The 25,778-nt window shown below is 35.1% G+C and overlaps 1 protein-coding gene and 2 non-coding genes across 5 annotated transcripts in view; all 3 read right to left on the bottom strand.

Annotated features, from left to right (window-relative positions):
• The window catches only part of HTR2C (5-hydroxytryptamine receptor 2C), a 325,976-nt gene that overhangs the window by 262,193 nt on the left and 38,005 nt on the right, over positions 1-25,778 (bottom strand). The window lies entirely within an intron of this gene.
• Positions 8,350-8,434, bottom strand: MIR764 (microRNA 764). Its single transcript, NR_031581.1, has one exon. It is a non-coding gene; the product is annotated as a microRNA 764 (primary transcript).
• SNORA35 (small nucleolar RNA, H/ACA box 35) lies at positions 16,945-17,072 on the bottom strand. The gene has a single exon (NR_002993.1). It is a non-coding gene; the product is annotated as a small nucleolar RNA, H/ACA box 35 (small nucleolar RNA).

Raw genomic sequence — 25,778 nt, 5'->3', positions numbered from 1 at the left:
CACACATCTCTGTTTTGGCACATGCTATGTCCTCTGCCTGCAATGTCTCTGACCTCTTTTTATGCTTGGCCATCTCATAGTCATTACACAGAGTCCTGCTAGATATCATGCTCTCTGTGAAGCCTGCACTGATAGTGCCAACCATTTCTTCCTCTAGCTTACTTGTATACCTCATGCTTATTTCTAACATTACATTCATACGATTTTGTTTTAATTATTTGTCTGCACATCTCTCTCCTCTACAAGGCTAGGAGCAATTAATTAACAAATATTACAACATTCTTTTTTGGGTTCCTAACACCTGCCACAGTGTCTGGCCCACAGTAGGCATATAGTAAACAGAGAAGTGAACAGTGCTAAGCAAACTACCTATACATATTTGAAGTTGAGGAAAATTAAAAGGGTGATTTTAAAATTGGATGTAAAGACCATTTTTCATGCTGGAAAATGTAAATCAAAGCATGTTGTCAAATTATTTTTTAAGTTTTATTTTTAATTGACAAATAATAATTGTATGCATTTATGGGATACAATGTGATGTTTTGATACTTGTATACATTGTGGAATGATCATATCAGGCTAATTAGTATAGCCAGAACCTCAAATACTTATCATTTTTTTGTAGGGAGAACATTTAAAATCCATTCTTTTAGCTATTTTGAAATATACATTACATTATTATTAACTATAGTCCTCATGCTGTGCAATAAGATTCTTAGAACCCATTCCTCCTAGGTGAAACTTTTTACTCTTCGACCAACAACTGTTCTTTCCCCGTTCACCTTCCTCCCCACTCAGGCCTCTGGGAACCACCATTATACTCTCTATTTCTATGAGTTTGACTTGTTCAGGTTCCACATATAAGTGAGATCATGCAGTAATGAAATGGGCAAATGACCTGTATAGATAGTTCTCAAAAGAAGACATATGAATGGCCAACAGATATATGAAAAAAAATGTTCATCATCTCTAATCACCAGAGAAATGCGAATTAATGTGTAATGAAATTATACCCTTATCTTTCACATCAAATACAAAAATCAACTTAAAGGCGATTAAAGACTTGCATGTAAGACTTGAAACTGTAAAACTACTGGAAGAAAACATATGGGAAAAGTCTCAGCAATGATTTTTTAGATATGACCCCAAAAGCACAGGCAACAAAAGCAAAAATAGACAAATGAGATTGCATCAAACTAAAAAGTTTCTGCACATTAACAGAGTGAAGAGACACCCCACAGAGTGGGAGAAAATATTTGCATAGACATTTCTCAAAAGAAGAAATACAAATGGCCAAAAGGGTTATGAAAAAATGTTCCTCACGAATCATCAAGGAAATGCAATTAAAAGCAGAGTGAAATATTACCTCACAACTGTTAGCAACATATATATCTTAGAAAATTTGTACTTCTGGATAAAAAGACAGAGGTATTTTCCTTTTAAGGAAAAATAATGTTGTGATTTTTAACAATTTAAAATTTATTCTATGGATTAGGAAAAAATTGTAAGGTTAATTTATATTTATCATAGGTCTGAACCTAAAATTAAAGACAATTTAGCCTTTATTAACAGATCTGTGGTATGCACTAAAAATAGAATGATCAGCCATATGGTCAAATCACAGATGTCTCTAAGAATATCACAAAAATCTAAATATGCTTTAAATAATTTTAATAACCTAGATGATTTTACCTAATTTCAAATGATATTTGTCAATAAATTAAACCTTTAAAGTATTTATCTGAATTGATATAAAACTTTAATTAATCTACTCAATATTTACTCCCATAATGGTTTTAAGATATACTGTAGCTAATCTGAAAACATAAATAATGTGCATAAATTCTTTTAAGTTCAAGTACAAAAATCCTTAGACCTTTTGATTGCACATAGAAAAGAGGCAATCTCATCTCTTATGGTGCATAATATTCACAAATCTAATTTTCTCTTTTCCGGTTTTCCATTTTATTCATAATCATCCATCAACCTTCCTAGATTTCTTATATTTTAACAACTTTTTAATGCTTGTTTCAGAATAATGATCCTATCTAATGATTGATAAAGATCATTCAGAAAAGGTCCATATCTTATCTTTTTTCATAAAAATGTCTTTTTCTTATTTATTGCCCTGAACTTGCATAAATCACCACAATCTTTTGCATTTTTATCAACTTGCCTTTTGCATTCTTATACTAAACACACAGTGCATGTACCTACTTTCAATTATGTTGCTCATAGTTGCCTGATTTTAATTAATTATCCAAGATTCCCCTTAAACTCTAAATTCTTAAATTCTCCCTTTAACTTTATCCTTTATGCTTCTGGAAATCAGTTTTCAACTGGGGCAGTTTGCTTCCCTAATTTTTTGTCATTTACTCATTTTTTTTATTATTACGTTCTCCCTCTCTCTCCTTCTTCCACTTCCCCCATCAATCACTCCCTCCTCTACCCAGGGAAACTGATGTCTGTGTTTCAGGCATGTCCACTACATTTTCTCATATTCCTTAATTCCTCCTGCATAAATCTATCTTTTCATGCTGTTTTCTTGAGGCACTTTTTTTTCCTTATGTGAGCCTTAATATAGCAATTTTCTTCTATATTTTACATTCCTGTCACAACTTGATACTTATACATCTTTTTCAATGTTACGTATTTTTTTTAGCTTCCTTATACTTCATTCTCTCTCTTTTGTAGCTAAGTGGCTTTATAGTACTCAGTAGAATAGGGATTACTGCCATCAGCTCAGAAATTCTGTCTGCCCCCTGCCCTCAAACAATAGAGGTATGAAATGCTGCCTTTTCTTGTGTTTTGGATTGTTTTCATGTGTCTTTTCCTTCCAGTTGCCCATAATCCCTTCCTGAAAAATGTTATATTCCTTTCTCTCCACCTGCTTTTTATAGAGAATGCACTTTGGTGATTTTTTGAGCCCTCATTCTCTGTTGACTCATCTTTTCATTGTATGTCTGGGCAATACCCTGACATCCTCAGCCACTTACATCATGACATGGACAAACCATAATTAAGAAACTCAGCATTAAGAACTAAGAACTTAATTACTATGCTCTCACTTTTCATTTATTTTCCACAGTATGATACCACCAATCATTAATACTTTCAATTTTGAGAAAATAATTACCTCAAAATAATTGCCTCTAGCAGTACTTAGTTTATTAGCAGAGGCATGTAATACTCAACAGAGGCTCAAGCACCAAAACGTTCAGATCCCATAAGTAGGTGATATGCCAACTCGATAAACCATAAAGAGGTAAGACCAATCTAATTTTTAAGAATAAGATTATAATTTTATTTAAGTATGAGGAGAAAAAATTAAAAGGGAACAATGCAATGGTTCTAGTAATCCCATGATGTGAACCTCCGAGGCTCATAAAGCTCATTAAATAATTTCCCATGCACTTACAATATGACTAAAAAAAGTATAGTTACATAGAACTTCTCAGAAATATATATATATATATATATATATATATATATATATATATATATATTTATTTATTTATTTATTTTAGATGGAGTCTCCCTTACTCTGCCACCCAGGCTGCAGTGGAGCAATCTCTACTCATTGCAACCTCCACCTCCCCAGCTCAAGCGATTCTCCTGCCTCAGCCTCCTGAGTAGCTAGGATTACAGGTGTGCGCCACCATGCCAGACTAATTTTGTTTGTATTTTTAGTAGAAATGGGGTTTCACCATGTTGGCCAGGCTGGTCTCGAACTCCTGACCTCAAGTGACCCGCCTGCCTCCGCCTCCCAAAGAGCTGGGATTACAAGCATGAGCCACCGTGCGCAGCCCTTCTCAGAAATGTATCTAATCCTAAAACAAGGCAAACTCACACTTATCTACCAGTAGCTACATCAATCTTTGAACACTCTATTTACTTAGGCAAACACACAAGTTCCCAAATTGTTCCACTAACTGCACTTAGAATTCACATTTATAGTGAAGGGAATAAAATGACCAAAAACACTGGCTGAAGAACTTAAATCTAAAATATGTCTTCTTTATACCTTATACAGCAGTTATTTCGCAGTTGGTAGTTTGAGGGATTGTTTTTTCTCTACAAGACTAAAAACTAAGAGAAACTTTTTGTTTCTACTACTTTCAGCAGTAAATTGCCTGAAATTAAGCCAGCCCAAGAACATGTAATTAATAACTGTCAGCCCATGCAAGGAGCTCTGTGTTCTAATTAACTTGTGCTTTGATAATTTCCTAGCAAAGTACTTTCACACTGAGAGCTTAATCCTGTTAAAACGGATTAATTTGGATTTTCCAGACAGGACACAAAGTCAAAGCTCAAAGACTCTTTCCCACCCTGTTACTATCCCCATACTGCCCAGGTTAAATCATCCAATTTAACTGTGGTTCATATTTTCACTTGAAAAAAAGCCAACATAGTCATAAATAGTATGTGAAGGCTGATAAAGCTTTATGGCAATAAGAAGTTTGCATTAAAAACACTAACATATATATTAAAGAAGACAAAATAAAGATTACAAAGTAATCAATATTGCTACTCCCATTTCCCCTAAGACACAAATCAATAACCTAGATTTCATGGCTCTTGCAAACAATAAGACATATATTATGTTGGTGCAAAAAAAAAAAGTAATGGCAAAGACAGCAATTACTTTTGCACCAACCTAATATATTTTGAATGCTCTGTAATCTGCAAAGACTCATTTATCTAGGAACTTCACTTACATAGAATGAAAGTGTGAACCCCCAAAACAGCAAAAATAATCTGATATCACAAAGTTCACATTTAATTCACTAATAATACCATTGTTTCTCCTTTTTAAAAATCATGTCTCCTATTTTCAAGTTATTTTTGTAGAAAATTGATTCTATTGTGCAAAATTCATTGTTGAATTTTTTTCTTGATTTACTCATCAATAACACCAATATGCAAAATGTTGGAAGATAATTATAAAATCATTGGGGGCTAAAGCTTATTGTTAACAAGAAAACAATTATGTGTGTCAGTTGTAAACTGAAAATTCATAATCAGTCCAAGAAATCTTTCTATAAAAAAACTAATTTGTTAAAAACTAATTTCTATAAAAAATTACAATCCACTGCCCTAAATTACAAGATCACACATTTTTCTAAACAAACTCAGAAGCTAGAAAAATGTTATCATTCAGGTACAGCAGCCCTACAAACAAAACAAAAGCCAAGCAACAACACCTAAAGCCTAAGTAAATACATCAAAAAATGAATAAAAACATAAATAAATGTCTCACTTATTAATCTGACTGGCATCTACCCGTGTTACATATAAGATACTAACTTGTATATTCCTAAGCTTCAAAATAAAATATTTGCTTAAGTTTTTTAAACTTTCTATATGATGGTATCACATAGTATTAATTAAACACTCAAAGTTTTAATTTATGGCAATTCCCTCCTCTTAGATTGCATATTTTTTCATATAAGGCACAGTAATAGGAATTAAGCTATGAAGATGTAGCCTTGATATTTCCAAAAATGTATAAAAATTAATGTACTTTATTTTATTACTGCCTGAATGAAGACCACATCCTGATAAAATGGCATAACAAAATACCATTTGATCTAGCAATCCCATTATTGGGTATATACCCAAAGAAATATAAATCATTCTGTTATCAAGATACATGCTTACGTATGTTCACTGTAGCATTATTCACAATAGCAAAGACATGGAATCAACCCAAATGCCCATCAATGATAGACTGGATAAAGAAAATGTGGTACATATACACCATGGAATACTGTGCAGCCATAAAAAGGAACAAGATCATGTTCTTTGCAGAGGCATGGATGGAGCTGGAAGCCATTATCTTCAGCAAAGTAACACGGGAACAGAAAATGAAACACCACATGTTCTCGCTTGTAAGTGGGAGCTGAACAGTGAGAAAACGTGGACACAGGGAGGGGAACAACACACACTGGGGCTTTTTGCCGGGGAGTGGGGGTAAGGGGAGGGAGAGCATCAAGATGAAATGCTAATGCGTGCTGGGCTTAATACCTAGGTGATGGGGTGATAGGTGCAGCAAAACACCATGGCACACGTGTACCTATGTAACAAACCTGCACATCCTGCACGTGTACCCTGGAACTTAAAATAAAATAAAATGGCATAACATCTTTTCTCGATGATATTTTTCATTATTATCTGTTGGGAAATGTAGTCATACTTCTCTGCTCTTGAGAGCAATTTGAATTTTAATGAGGAAAAAAGTAAAATGTTGAAAGCAAGTGTTGAAAGAAAATCAACTTATCCCTTGTTGATCTTATATGGATGACCACTTGAACCTAGCCAAGTCTGGAAAGACATAGATTTTTTTTTTACTTTGAAAACTAATCAAATCATAAAAGAAAACCCTCACTATGAGAGCTAGTCAGAAATCCATGTTCAGTATTTCACAGAACTGTTTCTCCACTTTTAAATGAGAATATACTAATCAATGTCACCATATCAGAAGAGCTTCTAACAGAGTACAGGGGTAAATGATTTCATGTTCTAAAATATAAGGACTATGCAAAAGCAGAAAACAGTTTTAAGAGAAAATATATGCATCTATTCGTGAATTTTATATGTCAACAGAATCCAGTGGCATCTGCTAAAGCAGAAAATCTACTACGAATAAACATTTTATTCAAGTTTAAGAAACAAGGAGAAGCAGGAGGATGGCTTGAGACAGGGAGTTCGAGGTTATAGTGAGCTGCGATTGTGCTACTACACTTCAGCCTGGTGTAGACACTGATGAAATACACAGATGAAAGAAAGAAAAGAAAAGAAAAGAAAAGAAAAAAAGAAAGAAAGAAAGAAAGAAAGGAAGAAAGAAAGAAAGGAGAAGGAAAGAGAGAAAGAAAGAAGGAAAGAAAGAAAAAAGAAAGAAAAAGGGAGGGAGGGAAAGAAAGAAAGAAGGAGGGAGGGGGAGGGAAAGAATGAAGGAAGGAAGGACAGGAAGGAAGGAAGGAAAAGAAAGAAAGAAAGAAAGAGAACGAAACAAGGAGAAACAGCGCAATAAAATAGATGTTGTATCACAAATCCATAAGATAGAAAGGTCCTACTTTTGAAATAAGGTCAAGAAATCTCTATTCCCCAGACTGTAAGCTACTTGAATGCACAGAATCTGCTTTTGTCTTCATTACACTTAGCATAGTGCCCTGTATTTAGTAAGTCTTCAAAAGATGTTTGTGCCATTGCAAAAATGAATGTCAATAATTTTAAAAATATGCCCAATTTGTTACCAAAAGAGCCAACCATTAAACATTTACTGTCAAGCTTCATTGTGGTATGTCATAGCTTGAAAACACTCTGTAACACACACCTTTTGTGTACTATGAGATTTGAGTCTTATAAGATCAAAATGTGGATAAATCTCTACCTGCAGTGTGGCAAATGATAAGATGTGATTGGCAAAGTCTTTAATGTTCAACTTCCCAATGGCCCAGCCGTGTACTTTATTCTAACTAGCATTCCGTGTCATATAAGAAGCCTCCCTTATTTCTAATCATTAATCACTCTTAAAGATATATGTGTTTCATTGTTTTCATTTAAAGTGAATGTAAAATACATTTAAGTAGAGATGTAGAGACTGACAATATCCAATTCTACTTTTTATGGTTCGAGGATTCGTTATCATCAGTCAATTGAAGAAAATACTACTTCCAGTATTAGACTGCTAAAATGATTATCATTAAAGATAAATAGATTATGAATGGAAAATACCTTTCATATATTAAGTATTATATAAATATGTGTCGAACAAAAAATGTATGAAAATTTATATTTCAATGATGATTATATTTACTTTGTAATTACTATTATTTCACTATTATAGTATAGCACAATTTCTTCAAATGTCAATTTTGAAAGTTATAAAGTTCTATAAAGCAATCTTACTTCCTGGCTTAACCTTAACCTGTAATATACTTCAAACTCAAGGACAGAAAGATTGTAAAATACAGTAATAATATATTAATCTTCTTACATCTATTCATACTTTTACAAAAATTTTCCAGGCAGCATTACACAAGGTTAAATACAAAGTTAAAAATCAAGAATCTCAGTCCCTTTACCGCTGTTTATTTTTGCCAATGGAGTATATATTTTATCACTGCAACATTATAATCTGTGAACAACACATGGCTTAAACATTATGTTGTGTTGTTTAGAAGAAATGGCCTGAGAAAAGTAGCTTGCATTTCAAAATCTTTAAATTTCAAAACATTACCACTGTGTTCTACCTTGAGGAGTTTAAAATTTCACAGTCCCACTGATCTGAGAGTCCTCAATGCATTGATTACAACCAGCGGGTCCATCTTCTATCCCAACGAAATTAATCATGGTAACAGTTGCCACTATGGCCTCCTCCCTGCATTTTCCAAGCATGGAGGAGGACAAGTGAGCACCTGCCTCCTAGATTTTAGATTGAAAATATCACCCGAACACACCAGGATTCTTTATACTATGGCAGAGTATAACCTTCTGAAAAAGGCCAAGAGTCTCCTAATGAGCACATCCATACATTGATCATGATGTTTTCCTTTAAAAACCAAGTTCCTCCAAGAATTTGTAAATGGAATTTAGCAATATTTACAATTTACTCATCAATAAATGGCATTTGAAATATTTATTTCACATTGTTTTGTCACATAGTTTAAAAATTTGATCAAAATATTTATAGAACTACTTTTTGTAATAGGAGAAGCCCTTTTTCTTTTAATAATAAAAATAATGTGCCAAGTAAAATATTCATTTATGAAACTGCTCAAGCAAAAGTAAAACCAGAAATATTCGAGATCATTAAGGTTATCCATTCTTCTTGTAGAATATTACTGAAACCTACAAAAGTATTACAAGACACATGCACATGTATGTTTATTGCGGCATTATTCACAATAACAGACTTGGAACCAATCCAAATGTCCAACAATGATAGACTGGATTAAGAAAATGTGGCACATATACACCATGGAATACTATGCAGCCATAAAAAATGATGAGTTCATGTCCTTTGTAGGGACATGGATGAAATTGGAAATCATCATTCTCAGTAAACTATCACAAGAACAAAAAACCAAACACTGCATGTTCTCACTCATAGGTGGGAATTGAACAATGAGAACACATGGACACAGGAAGGGGAATATCACACTCTGGGGACTGTGGTGGGGTGGGGGGAGGGGGGAGGGATAGCATTGGGAGATATACCTAATGCTAGATGACGAGCTAGTGGGTGCAGTGCACCAGCATGTCACATGTATACATATGTAACTAACCTGCACAATGTGCACATGTACCCTAAAACTTAAAGTATAATAATAAAAGAAAAAAATAATAAATAAATAAATAAATAAACGTATTACATAATGGTCAAAAACATATTACAAATTATCACTTTAAGAAGGTTTAAAATTGTACAAGGATTCCATTTACAACATATTTGATCTATATGCTTGCTAACCTAAAGATCTTGGTTATATAACATCTCATACCTCTGCATTTCAAAGATGGACAGTGACAGACATTGTTAAATTCCTGTTTGAAGGTATTAAAAATGACAGACTTTGTTTCTAAATTATGAATTTCCACATTATATTGAACTCTCGGGCTATTTTGTTGCTCGCTCTCAATTTGTGTTTACTACATTGTTTGGGGCATGAGTAGGTTTTCACTAGCTCATCTGAGAGGAAACTCCCTGTTTCTGAAATTCTTTAAGTAGGTTTGTTTGGAAAAATCAGCGAAGCATTCTGTTTAACCTGAGTCATTTCTTTCTACATTAAGCAAAGTTGCCTAGTAGTTAGGCAAAGAGCCCAGTCAGTTACCCTGAACCACAATGGATGCAGATCTATTTTCTTATTATTTCTGTCCCTGAAAAGTTTCATAGCTCCTCAGGGAAAAAAGACATACCCACCATCTTGTAGGTCTCAATTAAGCTTCCTTTCTTTTAGGTTTACACTCACTCTCCCTTAGCGAATTTTGCTTTTTTTTCAATTGCAAAAAACGAAGCCTTCCCATTGCCTGTTTAAAACCCAGTTTGCCTTGCTCAATGTCATGGCTTTTCAGGTTTTCTAAGACTGGTTACTCACTCTGCACGTCAGTGTGAGTTTGCATTTTAATTTTCCTTCCTGCACCTGATCCTTTACAATGACTCTGTAAGGTGTCAATAATCTCTGAAAGTTCTGGGATGAGGCACAGAATTTGGATCATGCTCTTATTTTGCCACAGTGGTAATTAAACACTAACACATACCGACACACATACACGATGAGTAGAGGTTTACGTTGTGTTTGCTTCTAGACCCTGAAATAATTGAGCTCATTTTCAAAATAAATAATCTACTTTCAAATTTGGTCTTTATTTTACACATACACTTAGTCAGAGATGTCTGCAGCTTAATATTTCAGCACATTGTCAAGCAATTCCATATGCTTTTTTCTTTTCCTCTTCCTACTTCTCCTTGTTTAGTCAGAAGTTTTCAAAGTTTTGAGTGCTTTATAGATTGAGGGTGTAGAATATTCTAATATGACTGGCAGAATAAAACAAAGACTGATTTATATTTCTCATGCAGTATATTTGAAAAGACAGATTCCCAACCATTTGCTTACAACTCTATTTCCAGCTCCTATTGGTTAGTTTTCAGTTGTTCATATCTCTGATTTAACACTTTTAAAAGTGCCTCTGTATATTTACAGGCTTAAACCTACAAGATTATGTATTTCTGAAAAAAAAATACACTTAAAAAATGTCAACAGATCTATGTGGAAAGCTAGTAGAAATTTCTTAACACTTAAAATTCACTTATTTTTTTAAAAAATTAGTAAACGGTACTGACTATGAATATTTTCCTGAAAGGACTTCAGTTTCCCTGCCAATCCCTAACCACACCAAAAGTGAGAGGAAACCCCTGGTAACAACGTTTACAACGTGTTCTGTGTGTAAAAGTGCAATCTGGAGAAAATAAATACCCTCACGATTATTTGCTTTCCTTGTAGCACTCATTTATGATCAAACATTTATTATAACTCCTATTTTTTCCTACTTTTAGTTTTCATTCAACTTGTCTTGATAAAGTCTTGAGTTCTCTCCATTTAATTCCCTACTGCTAGCTTCATGACCATCAATATCAATGTGAAAATCATACATTAGTCAGAGGTAGACTCCACCTGGCTTTAACTATATCCTGTAGAGGCACACACAATATCTGTCTCTGACTTCTGACAAGTGACAAAGATAAAAGAATGAGCTATCAACTTAAACATGATCTGCATTTGATCTTGTATTTTGCATATACTATATATTAAGAAGGCTCCAGAGTTAATTATGGATAAATATACAGCTACATTTATCATGCCACAATTTTCAAGTACAGAATGAATATTTGAGAAGTAAAAATAATTTTCTCTTGCTCATCAGATTCCTTTTAGGCTAGATCTATCCTCAACTTATCCAGTTAGTGGAAGGGAGCATCAGTGTGTATTATCAAAAGTGATGTATAATCCATACTGATGTTTTAGGGTTACTTTTCCAACTCCCTTCAAAATAGGAAAACCTGCACTGGGAAGTGGGCCTGTAGCCTTGAATCAGCTGGATTCACAGAAGACAACTCAGCTTCTTTGAGTTGCTAGAGTTCCTTGCTGTTCAGTACCATAACTCCACTCCAGGGAGCATGACCTTTCCTGTTAGGTGATTAGCACTGGGAATAAGAGCAAGATTCTTTAGATCGGGGAGGTAGGGCAAATGGGAAACTGGTTTCATTTGCAAGCAGGGACAAAAAAAAAAAAAAAAACCATTGCACAGCATTCATGCTTCCCAGCTGAGTTGGCTGCAGCCTCAGTTACCTGTTAACATAACAGCTATATTCACAGTCTGAAAATACACAAAGCCAGCTTTTCCTGGCAGTCACTTATCACTCTAGGGTTGCATTACCATCACAGGGAATGAAAACATGGTTCTAATCCAATTAGGAAACAAAGGGTACTTGCAAGAAAAAAGTTTCAATTCAACTTAATGCAACAAATATTTGTTGGTTTGGGAACATTTACCTGCAAGAAATATTCTTCTTTGACATAGAAGCACGTGATTCTAAACTGGCTACAACAATATCATTGGAGGTATTGGTGACAAAAGTGATTACCATAAAAATTAAAGCAGGAAAGGAACTTGAAAAATCATTTACATAGTCCTTAGTGGAGTGTCTTGCACAAAGTAATCTCATCATAAAAAAACTGATGAATGGATGAATCCAGTTCAATCCCTCATTTTACAAATCAAGAAACTAAAGTCAAAATGAAGAAGTAATTTTCTCAATGATACAAAGTTAGCCAGTGGAAGAGCAGGACAAGAGACCAGAATTTCTGAGTCCTTACCTATTATTCTTATTAACATACTCTTCTTTATATTCAGTCATTTCCACTGTTGATTGATCCGCTGTAGACCATATTCGTCTTCATCCCCATAACTATGTGACTTCATGCCCACAATGTCTTTTAGTACAGCAACTCCATTAAACTAGCCTTAACCATTCTAATCCATATCCTTATATCTCTTCTCTGAATTTTTAGTGTTTACTGGCTATACCAAAAATTGAAGCTTTTAATAAAAAACACATTTGGCAAGAATTTTATGTATATATCTTGCATCATTAATAAGTTTTGTATGCTTCTTCAGGTAAGGGACATTTGTTTATAGTTCTTTATATATATCAGCATGTAACACGCAGGTTTACCTTGGTGCATCAGAATGAGTATATAATTTAGCATCCAGATTGGACACTTTTGAGAGTTAAAAATTATATTTAATACATGTGCAATAAGCATAAACTGTGACTGTCCTAGGAAAAGTAGAATATATAGTCACCCTAATAGTTGTTGATTTGTTCAACATTTGTTAAATTAGAATTGATCATTGCTGATTGTACAGTTGTCCAACTATGGGATATTGTTTCAATTTACAGATTACACTGAATGAAATTATTTCTAAAGCAGTAATCACTGAAAAATAATGATAAGTTGCAGAATTCTATTTAGTTACTGATTTTTTTTTTAAGATGGGGTCTCACTCTGTCACTCAGGCTGGAATGCAGTAATGTGATCTCGGCTCACCGCAACCTCTACCTCATCGGGCTCAAGGGATCCTCCCACCTCAGCCTCCCTAGTAGTTGGGACAACAGGCATGTGCCACCGTGCCCTTCTAATTTTTTGTAGTTTTGGTAGAGACAAGGTTTTGCCATATTGCCCAGGCTGGTCTCAAACTCCTGAGCTCAAGTGATCTGCCCACCTCGGCCTCCTGAAGTGCTGGGATTACAGGTGTAAGCCACCATGGCTGGCCACAATTTACAGACCACAGTGAATGAAATAATTTCTAAAGTAATAATCACTGAAAAATCATGATAAGTTGCAGAATTCTATTTACTGAATTCTTATATGTAAGTATAATTTGTTTAAAAGTTATTAATATTTCTGCAAATTTTCACTTATTGTCTTGTTTTTTAAAGCTGTAAGGATAAAGTTAACTGAAAAATGTTTGTTGCTCCAGTTTTAATCATTTTAGCATTGAAAATATGGTGGAGAGTAAAAAAATTAGCCTTGTTTCTAATTCCTTCCTGATGGTAAAATATGAAGTATGATGGCTTTCTACATGGGGTGAGGGGGGCATGCTGTTAGAACGTATAGATAAAAAGGCCCACATTTGTAATTTAAAAGTAGATTTAAATTTAAACTCTCTATTTAAGAGTATGAAGACACACATCAAGATTATTTAAATTTCTATTGAGATAAGTAATGGAGGAAGTAGTAAGGGAAACAAGTACCTTCTATTATAGATTCATACACAACTAATAAATTTATAGAACTAATGACTAATAGCTAAAATTTTATAGCATTTACCTACCATCTCTCTCTCTCTCTCTATATATATATATATACACATGCATATATATTTAACGTACTTTTTTACTACCTCTCCAAAATGTAAGATCACTAGGTGTTTAAAACAATAGTTTTATCTGCTTAGAATACATACATGCACACACACACACATATATATGTGTACATTCACACATATATGTGTATATATATATAGAGAGAGAGAATGATGCCTTTGAACATATTAATAAAACACATCTTTACATTGATTTCTGTTAAGAAATAATCAAATAAATTTTGATACAATTTTCATGATATCAAAAGAATATATATTTTTATGTTCAGATATTTAACAAATGTTCAGACATCCCAGACAGAATAGTCCATAGATACAATTTATTAATATTGCTAAATTAGAGGTTTAATGATAAAAATACCCAGCAGCAGAATGAATTTGAAGCATTTGAACAATGGCAGTTACACCATCTGCTCCAGATAGAAATTTGCTATCTTGACAGTAACAAAGAACAAATAGGCAGTGCAGATACATCAAGCTGGCAAGAGGGTAAATGCAGCAAGGAAAGAAGCATTTTTTAGACAAATTGCTTTTCCTGTTGAATACTACATTCTATCCTAAATAATACTTCATTCAACTACAGGCAGATGTTTGTGTCAAAGAGAATTCATAGTCTTTATCACAAAAAGTGTTTTATATTATTAGAAAATCTAAATAATCATAATTTTCCATCCTCAAATTTCCAAATAAAATTAAAGTACACTAGCAGGAAAAAGAAGCAAAAATAATTACAAGGGAAACAAAATAGCATGCTTCCCTTAGGAAAAATGCTGAGAAAAAGACATAATGTTGACAGATTCTGACCTATCCACATGGACCTCTAAGATGAGCCCCAAGACTATATTATTTGAAGAAATTAAGTTTTAAAAATCAATTTAAAAGACTTCCTTCTCACATCTTATTATCAGTGGGATATTTGTGTTTATGGGTAAGGGATGAAGATATATTGAAATAGCATTCATTCTGTGTTAAAATAATAAAGAGAAAATAATAAAACTATCATTATAGACATTCATTTGCAAGGTTATTAGGTCACGTGAGCACCCTACCTTGACATGTTTCTAAGAAAGAAGGTATTTATTTTTCTAAATAATAATATTTATTAGAATTTAATAAATTCTAAGGAGGCCTCCTCTAAGGAGGCCAGTCTCTGGAACATCAAGACAAGGAGGTTTATATAAAGGCACGGGCCAATTTCTACTCCCATTCCATATCACCCACATACTTGATGTTCACATTCCTTTTATTCTTGGTTCAATAGCATTGATAAAGATTATAGTTGAAAGAATTATAATGTTTAAAATATATACCAAACTATGGCATAAAGAACTCATTATATTAATCCTTGCCAATTGTCAGGAAAGATGTGTCATCTTTTTTACTGGGTTTTACATATCAATCAGTAAGTATTTATTGAGATATATATTTTTAACTGATACATTTTGTCTCAATTGTCTGAAAATAGTAAGATTGTAAATGAAATGCAGATTGTGTACATTCTTTTGCTACCTGATCTGATCTGATTTATGATCAGAACATAAATATGACCTTGGGTTAATGAGGGCCATGTCCTTTTTGTGGGAGTCCCCCCTCAATACATTTCCTAGGAAGGCAAGTTTACCATCCATAATTTTAACACAAGAATAGTATGAGGTGAGGTCTTCCTTCAAAATAATTATTTTTTACTTACCTTATCCTGGATTCAAACTAATCTTTTCTAAATTTTAAATGAGTTTTCATCCTGTATTTTATCACGTAAAACAGTACCTTGTTTTATACAGTGCTAAAACTATGACATTCAATCTTCTAAAGCTTGCCTCCAGTTTTGGTTACAAAAATTGATGGCTGACTTCATAGATAACTTACATTAATTTATCCAGCAATAGTTATTTATTTAGCTTCTACTTTATGAAAGGCACTGGGATAGGTGCTGCAGTAAGTACTAAGATTTATGAGAAGATAGACCTTTCAAAGGGTTTACCAATTAGTTAATAAGCTAACAAGGTGAATGAACAGAATAAATGAAAAATTGATCATCGTCAAATTATGTGGTAGAGAGAGAGAGATTAGTGGGGACTTGAGTATTTGAAGGTGTCATGATGGACAAAAAGGGGGCCAGGAATGAGCCTTGAATGTAGTTCTAACTTATAAGAAAGAACTGGAAAGGGAATTCTATCAGCACTAGGTCTAAGCTGACTGTTTATATACAGAGAATGAAGAGGCTGGGGAAGCCTAGCTTGTCAGGAAGCTAGTAGAAATGTGGGGCAAATACATGGGTGCCATCATCTATAAGATAATTATAATCTCATTTTCATCACATCAAAAGGAGAAAACCACTTATCTCTCTGTCTTACTAACACTTAATGAGCAAATTGCCCAGAAATTTAAATGGATTTATCTTGTCATGTAATCACCATGACAATCGTAGATCATTCCAGTAGTGTCAACCTTATTTTATGGACTAGGACACTGAGTCTAAGAGGGGTTAATGTAAATTGCTAAAAGCTTCACAGCTAGTAATGATTATGATAATGTAATAGCGAGGATAATATTTACTGAGTATCTTCTATTAACCTGGTACGGACATAGTCACTTTTTTTTTTTTTTTTCTTTGAGACGGAGTCTCGCTCTGTCACCAGGCTGGGGCAGTGGCGCGATCTCGGCTCACTGCAACCTCCACCTCCCAGGTTCAAGGGATTCTCTGGCCTCAGCCTCCCGAGTAGCTGGGACTACATGTGTGCGCCACCATGCCCAGCTGATTTTTTTTGTATTTTTAGTAGAGACGGGTTTCGCCACGTTGGCCAGCATGGCCTTGATCTCTTGACCTTGTGATCTGCCTGCCTCGGCCTCCCAAAGTGCTGGGATTACAGGAGTGAGCCACCGCGCCCGGCCAGACATAGTCACGCTTTTCTAGTAATAGCAGTTACTGAGCTGCCTGGATCTGTCTCTCCACTCTCTCACTTTTTTTAGGCAGGTCATAGGACCCAGGAGATATGTACCCAGCTGCATGCAGGAGTAGCCCACGGTGTGACTCTCCCAGCTTTGAGAGGGATTTGCTTTTGCACCGCTTGATGCCCAGTTGGTCAAGATGGAGCCCAATGGGTCACTTGGCAGTGCTGTAGACAGCAGAGCTGGGGTTGGGGCCCCATGCTCTGTATAGAAGAACAAGCTTAAAGGAGGGAGTGGGTAGGTGACCAGAAACATCTCAGAACCCATTGCTTCATTCACTCAACATGGTGACTGCAAACGTAGGTCAACTTCCAGTGAAGAAAATGTGAGTTTAGAATCAGGCAGATCTGGGCTCAGAATCCCAGCACTGTCACTGACTAGCTGTGGGACTTTGGTAAACTCACTCAAGTTCTTGTAGCCTCTGTTTTCATATATATTAAATGGAATCAGTAATAACTACTTCATTGACTGCTGTGAGAATTGGAAGAAATAACTTGCAAAGAGTCTAGTCCACTACCTGACATTAGTTGTTAAACATTTAATAATTAATAGCTATTGTCATAACTAAAAATCTCCCCACTCACCAATACCAACTCTCTTTTTTATTTTTTCAAATTACCATTTGTGCGGGATCTGGTAAAAAAATGTTGGAATTTTTTTTAGTTAATAATTCTACAATTTTCTATTCTTCTTATAATTTCCCCTTACAAAAGAAAAGTTGCTTTAGATCCAACTATTTTATGTTGGCATATATGTTGAATGACTATTTTAAATTGCCTAATATTTCCTGACAACAAATTTGTAGATCACTATCCTTGAATTGTTTGAAGGACAATGATACATCTTTCCTGTGCCTCTGGAAGGAACTCACATTCTCTCAAATGTACAAAACAGAAAACTATCCATTTGATGTACCTCTTTTTTTTTTCTCTTGGTTATCGCTGAAAATCTGCCACCTCAAGCAGCCATTGGCAAATAATCGTTACCTTTTTCTTCATTGTTTGCTTCATTAAGTCAGCAAATATTCATAGATAAAATTTTATGAACCAAGCACTACTCTAATTAATAGTGTTCCCACCAAAACAAGTGCCTTTCTCTATACCCCCTTGACTTTTGTCCTAGCCTGGTATGCTGCCTTACCAAATGATGCTGCTTAGGTGCTCAGCCATCCTTGAATTCTAGGAATAATCTGGCCTCTAGTGCACAGAACTGGATTAATTATAACCCTTGGTGTATGAATCACCATTGTCATGTCTCCACATATGGCTCTATAGATATAATTAATTAATTAAAAATTAAAACAAAACATCATATACAGATTGTGAATGTTCGATTTTAAGAGATAATGCCAACTTTTTCCAAGTAATTTTACAAATTTATATTTCTGCTAGCAATGTGTAAGAGATCCAGTTGGTTCACGTTCCCACAAATGCTTGGTTCTTACAATAGGTATAAAATGTCCCATTACTTTCTTGCCTGTCCTCCCTGTATGGGGAAGTTTCATGTACAAAGTTGAGGTTTGGAACTTTTCTCAGACATTTGAAGTAGAATGGAATCAAATACCAGAAACTTCTCAGCAAAATGAGAACTACAAGTGATATCCTAGTCCCTTCTTGGCTAACGGCTTTTAAAAAATGAAGAGGAGGAAAACAATTTAAAAGTAAGCATTACCCACTTTAGGAGTCGGGGAAGAAAGTGTACTCCAGATATTAAAGGGCACAGGCTTTTCTGTGACTCATAAATGGGCATATTTTCTCCCCTAAAATTCTAGAATAATAGCAAATTGAAGGGAAAGATACAAATTAACCCGTTTCTGTTTTTCCAATGGAGACCCGTTTCTAAACTGTTGGGTAACCAGAGTATAGATACTCTCTTAAATGCACAGATCATTTCACAGATATAAATATAAAAAGATGGAAAAATAACATGTGACTAGTTGTTTATTAATTGTGGGTTTTAATAGTTTACATTGGGCCATTCACTTATGAAGGTGTGGTTCCATCTAATTCATCATTCCGAAAAATACATGTTCATTATTTGACAGTTTTGAAAAGCAGTTGTAGTACCCAAAATAATTGTTTTATATGTAAGTATGATATCAACAGCCTTAATCCTAAATTCTTATATTGCTCTCAGTGTGCATACACGTCAAAATGCATCTTTGTAGTACAGATAATTCACCTACAGAAATTCCGCCAAAGTTTTTATTTTATTGGTGGCTGTTATTCTATCACTACCTTTGGTGATGTGCTACTGTTCTAATTATGCCTAACCATGTTCCAATAAAATTACGTACTTGCCAACTACTAGTTGCAACAAATACTGGTCAATGTGTTTGTTTATTTGGAGGACTGAAATTTAAGAGGAGCATTTCTAAACAAATAAGAGTTCCTTAATATAAGGATATTGGCCAGGCGCGGTGGCTCACGCCTGTAATCCCAGCACTTTGGGAGGCTGAGGTGGGCAGATCACCTGAGGTCAGGAGTTCAAGACCAGCCTGGCCAACATGGCGAAACCCTGTCTCTACCAAAAATGCAAAAAAAAAAAAAAAAAAAAAAAAATTAGCCTGGCATGGTGGTGCACGCCTGTAGTCCCAGCTACTCGGGAGCCTGAGGCACAAGAATCACTTGAACCCGGGCAGCAGAAGTTGCAGTGAGCCAAGATCGTGCCACTGCACTCCAGCCTGGGCGACAGAGTGAGACTCCATCTCAATTAAAAGATAGATAGATAGATAGATACAGATATCAAGATAAAAGACTCCTGCCTTTGTTAGGCATAAAATAGATACTATTTAAATACTGCTTTTAAAAAAGAGAGCAAATTCACATTACTTAAATATTTCCATCAAATTTTACATATACCAAGCATTAGAGAAACATTTCTGCTGAAAAGTTAACTACTAGCTACATGCAATCTTGATATTATAGGTCATGTCTAATTGATTCAGACTAGTGAACTAAAATTGTTTTCAGGATCCACTAGGCATTCCAGTTTTGGTCTTCATTCTTCAAGCCTGTGAGGATGAGCTACTGGGCACTGCACTCTTTAGAAAGCAGATTTATAAGCTTTACTTTCTGATCCTATGATCTAATGATAAGGTACTCTATCATGGTCAATGCAGATTTTTTTCTCAAGATAACTATTCAACAGAAAAACAAAATGTCTCTCTTTTGCTTGCTTTTACTATATCCTTGTGAAAAAATTATTTGATCCAGCAGCAAATATTTATGGAGCACCTACCATGTGCAAGGGCCTGCATGGGGCATAAAAAGGAGACTGTGCAATGATATGAAAGAGATAATGACAGAAAATGATTATACAATTCATCCCAGTTGATAAGAGCACTTCCTTAAGGATCTTCTGCTGAAATGCAGGCTTCATTAATTCCTCACCTCTTTGTACATGTATAAACCTTATTGCTTAGAGCACACTGTTCTTTTTCTTTATTTTATGTTAATTAATCTTATCGCACCAATAAGATTTTAAGTGAAGGTCAGATATCTTGGCCAATACTTTTCTGCAACCCCAGTAATTCCTGGCATAGTGCTGATCACATAATAGTTCTCCATCATTACCTTAGTTAATTAATCTAATATTTAAGAATATATTTTCCAGATACCTTAGTCCACTCATTCTTTATTATAACCCTCATAGGCACAAGTAGAAGAAGGGGAAAAAGATGAAATTCATTGTATCAACATCAACTACTAGTTCTGGACTCTTCTATCAGTCTATGGTTTACAGCAAATTATGTGAAAACTTATGAATAATTTAGGGCAATGAACAACATTCTTTCCTTGTGACAAGAGTATTTTGATATGTTAATTGAAGTGTTTTGCCTTTTAAAAACTAGCTTACATCTTTTTTGGTTCTAATGCCCACTTAATGCATTACCTATTAATATGAAGAGTCAAAAAAAAATCTTGGATTTATATAATTTTCCCAAAAAATAAATTTAGAACGTTATGTTCTGTAGGCCATGATATCATAACGTTTAATGAAGTCAGAGACACTGAATCTGTATTCTGCCAACTACTACTATTCAAATTGCCTCTGACCTTCCACTTAAGGCTTTATAGAGGCTTGCTATCCTTCTCTTGCTCTAATTCAGTGAACATCTCTTCTCACAGCTATAACTCTGCCATAAGGAATCTCAATCAGTGAATTATGGAACACGAATAAAAATTATTTTTAAATGACAGAATTCACTAGAAACTGAAAACAAATCATATGAATTCCTTCTATTTCATTTGCTTTAGTGCCCCCTTTAGGAATATAAATCAATTCTCTAAACCTATGAATATTGAGAAGGGATGAACTCAAGTCAACTTTTCCTAAAAGGTTGTCTAGATAGTAGATAGAACATTAAATAGATTATCAGTTTTTAAAGTTGTGAGTTGGAAAAGCTTTCACTACATTGGAGTCTTAAGCTCTTGAAAACATGGCATAACTCTGTAGCCACCTGGTGGCAAGGGATGTTTGTTACAGGTATAATAATTAGCACAAAGCATCAAAACTATGAGACAAAGATGAGAGTTCCAGTTCCATATTTCTTTCTTTTTTTCTTTTTTTTTTTTTGTGACAGGGTCTCCTTCTGTTGCCCAGGCTAGAGTACAGTGGCCCAATCACAACCCACTGCAGCCTCAACCTCCTGGGCTCAAGCAATCCTCCCACCTCAGCCACCTGAGTAGCTGGGACTACAGACATGTGCCACCATGCCTGGCTAATTTTTTATTATTTTTTTTTTTTTTTGCAGAGATGGGGTTTTGACATGTTGCCTAGGCTGGCCAGTCCCATATGTCTAAGCACTTAACAGGAGTTTCTCTTTAGAAGAGCTACCGTAAATATCAAAACCACCAAATCGGCATCTGCCTCTTACCATATCCTTGGTTATCCATTTTTGGTTCTAATGCACACTTAATGCCTATTAATATGAAGAATCAAAAATAATGATCTTGGATTTACATAACATTCCCCCAAAATAAACTTAGAACTTTATGTTCTCTGGTTCATGATATCATAACATTTAATGAAGGTAGAGCTGCTGGAAGTTGCTGTCACTTACCTATTCCAGCTGATCTCCTATTACTGAGTACAACCCAGTAAGGCCACAGACCATCAGCCCTGCCTCATTCAACACTCATTGGTTTCCAAGCTTTTCATGAAACTCCCCTACTCCAACACACACTTTGAGATACTCTTTCTCTTTCCCCCTTCAAATTCTAAATTCTATTCTGTCTTCAATGTTGAGCTCAAAAGCCACTTCTCACTTTCTGTCTTAATCCATTTGTGTTGTTATAAAGGAATATCTGAGGCTGGGTGATTTATTTTAAAAAGGGGTTCATTTGGCTTACAGTTCTGCAGGCTGTATAAGAAGCATGGTGCCAGCATCTGTATCTGGTGAAGGCCTCGGGCTGCTTCCACTCATGGTGGAAGGTGAAGGGGAGCTGGCATGTGCAAAGATCACATGGTGAGAGAGGAAGCAAAAGAGAGAGGGAGAAAGATGCCAGGATCTTTTTAATAACCAGCTCTCATGGTGTCTAACAGAGCAAGAGCTCACTCATTACCATGAAGACAGCACCAAGCCATTCATGAGGGATTTTACCTCATGACCCAACTCCTCCCATTAGGCCCCATTCTCAACATTGGGGATTAAATTTCAACATGAGATTTGGAGGGTCAAACACCCAAACTATAAGTAGAGAATATTTTAGAAAAGCCCAGGCTGTACAAGAAGCATAGTGCCAGCATCTGCTTCTGGTGAGGGCCTCAGGGTGCTTCCAATCATGGCAGAATACTAAGGGGAGCTGGTTTGTGCAAAAGAGAAGGTGCGGGGAGGGAGGTGACAGGCTCTTTTGAACAACCAGCTGTCATGGAAATTAACAGAGCAGGAACTCATTTATTATGGTGAAGGTGGCACCAACTATTGAAATTTGGAGGTTTTATGTAAACTATATCCAAATATCTTTTTAAATATCCAGGGGCATGCCACTAAATAGCTGAAATTATCAATATGCACTGTTTTATAGAGCCTTATTTAGCACCCTCCATTACAATGCATGCTAATCTTGCCCTTTCTTCATTTTTTTTCCCCTAATTTGACATCAGGGCTTTCTTTCCCCGAGCTAGCTTTTCAATTATAAGCTCTCAAATAAACATTTTCCCAAAGAATTACTCTTTTTAATAATATACATTCTAGCTGTGCCTTTATTTGACAAATTTGGAGAAGACTCTAAACTATCAGGAGTTCTTTCTTAACATGCTAGAGATGCTTGGTCATTTTTTTTTCCTTTTGGAATCAGAGGTTGCTGTTAGTCAATAACATAAAGATCAGGTTGTAAACTGAAATTTTATCTTATGCTTTAAAGGCACAAGGAGTGCCAGAAATCATCAAAATGAATTTTAAATGAAGAGAAGCATTATGAAGGAAACAATATAAGGAAGCTGAGCTGCATTTAAATGTTAGCACATCAAGTAGCAAAATCAATTTCAAATATAATTTTAACTTGTAAAGTGTAATAAAGATTAATTCATTTGTGCTTTTATATCTAGGAGAATATGATGTGTTTTGTCAAAATGAATTTGCAGAGATAAGTACATATCCAATTTTAGGGAAGCATTCTTTGTGGAAATCTAAAGATATAAAAATAATAAGTAATAATGGAAAGAGTTGTTCATTTACTCTTTCATCTGATATTTATTTAACACATTTATTGAGCGCTTATGCTCTACCAGTAAACATTGCTTCAACTATTAAAAGACAACTTTTGGGGCTGGGTGGGGTAGGTCACGCCCATAATCCTAGCACTTTGGGAGGCTGAGGCGGGCGGATCACATGAGTCCAGGAGTTCAAGACCAGCCTACCCTGTCTCTACTGAAAATACAAAAAACTTAGCCAGGTGTGGTGGTGCATGCTTGTCATCCCAGCTACTCAGGAGGCTGAGGCACGAGAATCGCTTGAACCTGGGAGGCAGAGGTTGCAGTGACCTGAGATCATGCCACTGTACTCCAGCCTGGGCAACAGAGCAAGACTCTGTCTCAAAAAAAAAAAAAAAAAAAACAACAACAAAAAAAGAGACAACTTGTAGACTAAGACACCAATGGTTTAGACTATTTCAATTGCATTATAAATAATACTATTTTGCTAAATACACAAACAGTATAAAATATCTATTTAAGTTCTTAGGGAGACAAATTATAGGAAGAGAGGAAAAGGAAATAGCATATGAAATAGAAAAAACTAAGAAACTTTGATGTGTATGCTGAATATTTCAGCCATAAACTCTCTTAACCTCCTGATCACAGGCACTTGAAAAAAGTCATTTTCTAGTCAAACATTGTTTTCTGAAGATAAACATCAAGTTCATTATCCAGGGGCATGCCACTAAATAGCTGAAAGCATCAATATACACTGTCTTATATAGCCTCATCTAAAAATAAAAAACATCCTTCAAGAGAAAATTTATACGGTTTTAACATTGACTAAGTGGCTTCTGTATGCCAGAAACTTTAAGTGGGCTGTTTCATTTAATCATTCTGGCAAACTTATTTTGTGTTGACTTTCATGTTATGGTTAAGGTAAGTAAGGCTTGGAGGAGTTAAGTAAACGTCAGTTATAATAATGACAATACTAGCAAGAAAACAATAGTTAACATTTGTTTAACATCTGGTATGTGTTAGGTACTTAATATTACCAGATTGACACAATAGAAACCTATAGGACTCAGGGGACTGTGGATAACTCGCTTAAGCCCCTAGGCCTCATATGTTAAATATAGGTAATAATAACCAGTCATTGGAATGTTGTGAAAATTAAAGGACATAGTTTGTACACTGTCCAATAGTGCCTGGCATGGAGCAGATGCTCAATACATGATAGTTTATAACCATATTTAATATCTCTCTTGTTTGGTGGGAAACCTGATCACAGGTCCTTTGAATTTTTTTTTAAACCCTATTAAGTTTACTATGTCTATATTTGCTACCCTTTCTAACTTCTATTAATAAAACCTTACTGCCTTTCCTCTCATGGTTAGCCAGTATTTAAAAATTACCTAAAATGCTGTGACCAAAACTTGTAGGTAATTGTTTCTGATTTGAACAAAGCCAAAGACAAATCTTTCCTGTACGTCTGGAAGATGGAAGATTAACTAGCATTCCCTTATTGTGGAAAAGCGGAAATTCTCCCTTTGCTCTGCTTCCCACTTTTTACCAGGGGTTATAGGTAAGCCACATCTACTGGCAGATGTATTGCCTATTTTGGAGGAGATCTGGATAAATAAAGTAGGCTTCCAAGCCTCTCTTTCCTCATCTGTTAAATGGTAGTAAAATTCAGCATTTATTGGATGATGAGATTTTTTATTAGTCATGCTTTTTGTAGAGTAGTTACTCAGCAAATCTTAACTCCACTATTCCAATGAAACATACCTCCAAAACAACTGGACAGCATCCTGTGGGGAAATGGGTGAGAACGAGATGGGAAATAGAAAAATAATTGGGAGAAGAGAGTTTCCAAAAGCACTGGATTTTGTTAATTTTCTACTTGATATCCCATTTTTCATAATTTCCAGCTCTGGTTTTTTTTTGTAGTATTTCATTATCTCACTTCACTGCCACCTCCAGAGAACTAATAGAAACATCTTTTATAAAACCCATATGCTCATTTTACCCCTCAGCGTGTATTCCTACTCTGTAGCTTATCAGCAAAGTCAGTCAGACACTGAGGCATCTGGGGAGACCATTTTTCAAATCTTCAATCCTCAGTTCTTAGCTTCCCTTTTTAATCTGCTGTGTGCTCTGTAGCAATGGAAAAATGGCTTGACAGGCTTGCTCTGTCCGGCTATGTGATACATATTTCCCATTTCATCAATAAATTT

The sequence above is a fragment of the Homo sapiens genome, chromosome X (genome assembly GCF_000001405.40).
Source record: "Homo sapiens chromosome X, GRCh38.p14 Primary Assembly".
Lineage (NCBI taxonomy): Eukaryota > Metazoa > Chordata > Mammalia > Primates > Hominidae > Homo > Homo sapiens.
Note: the sequence above shows the minus strand (reverse complement) of the source record. Positions and strands in the feature narration are given on the sequence as shown.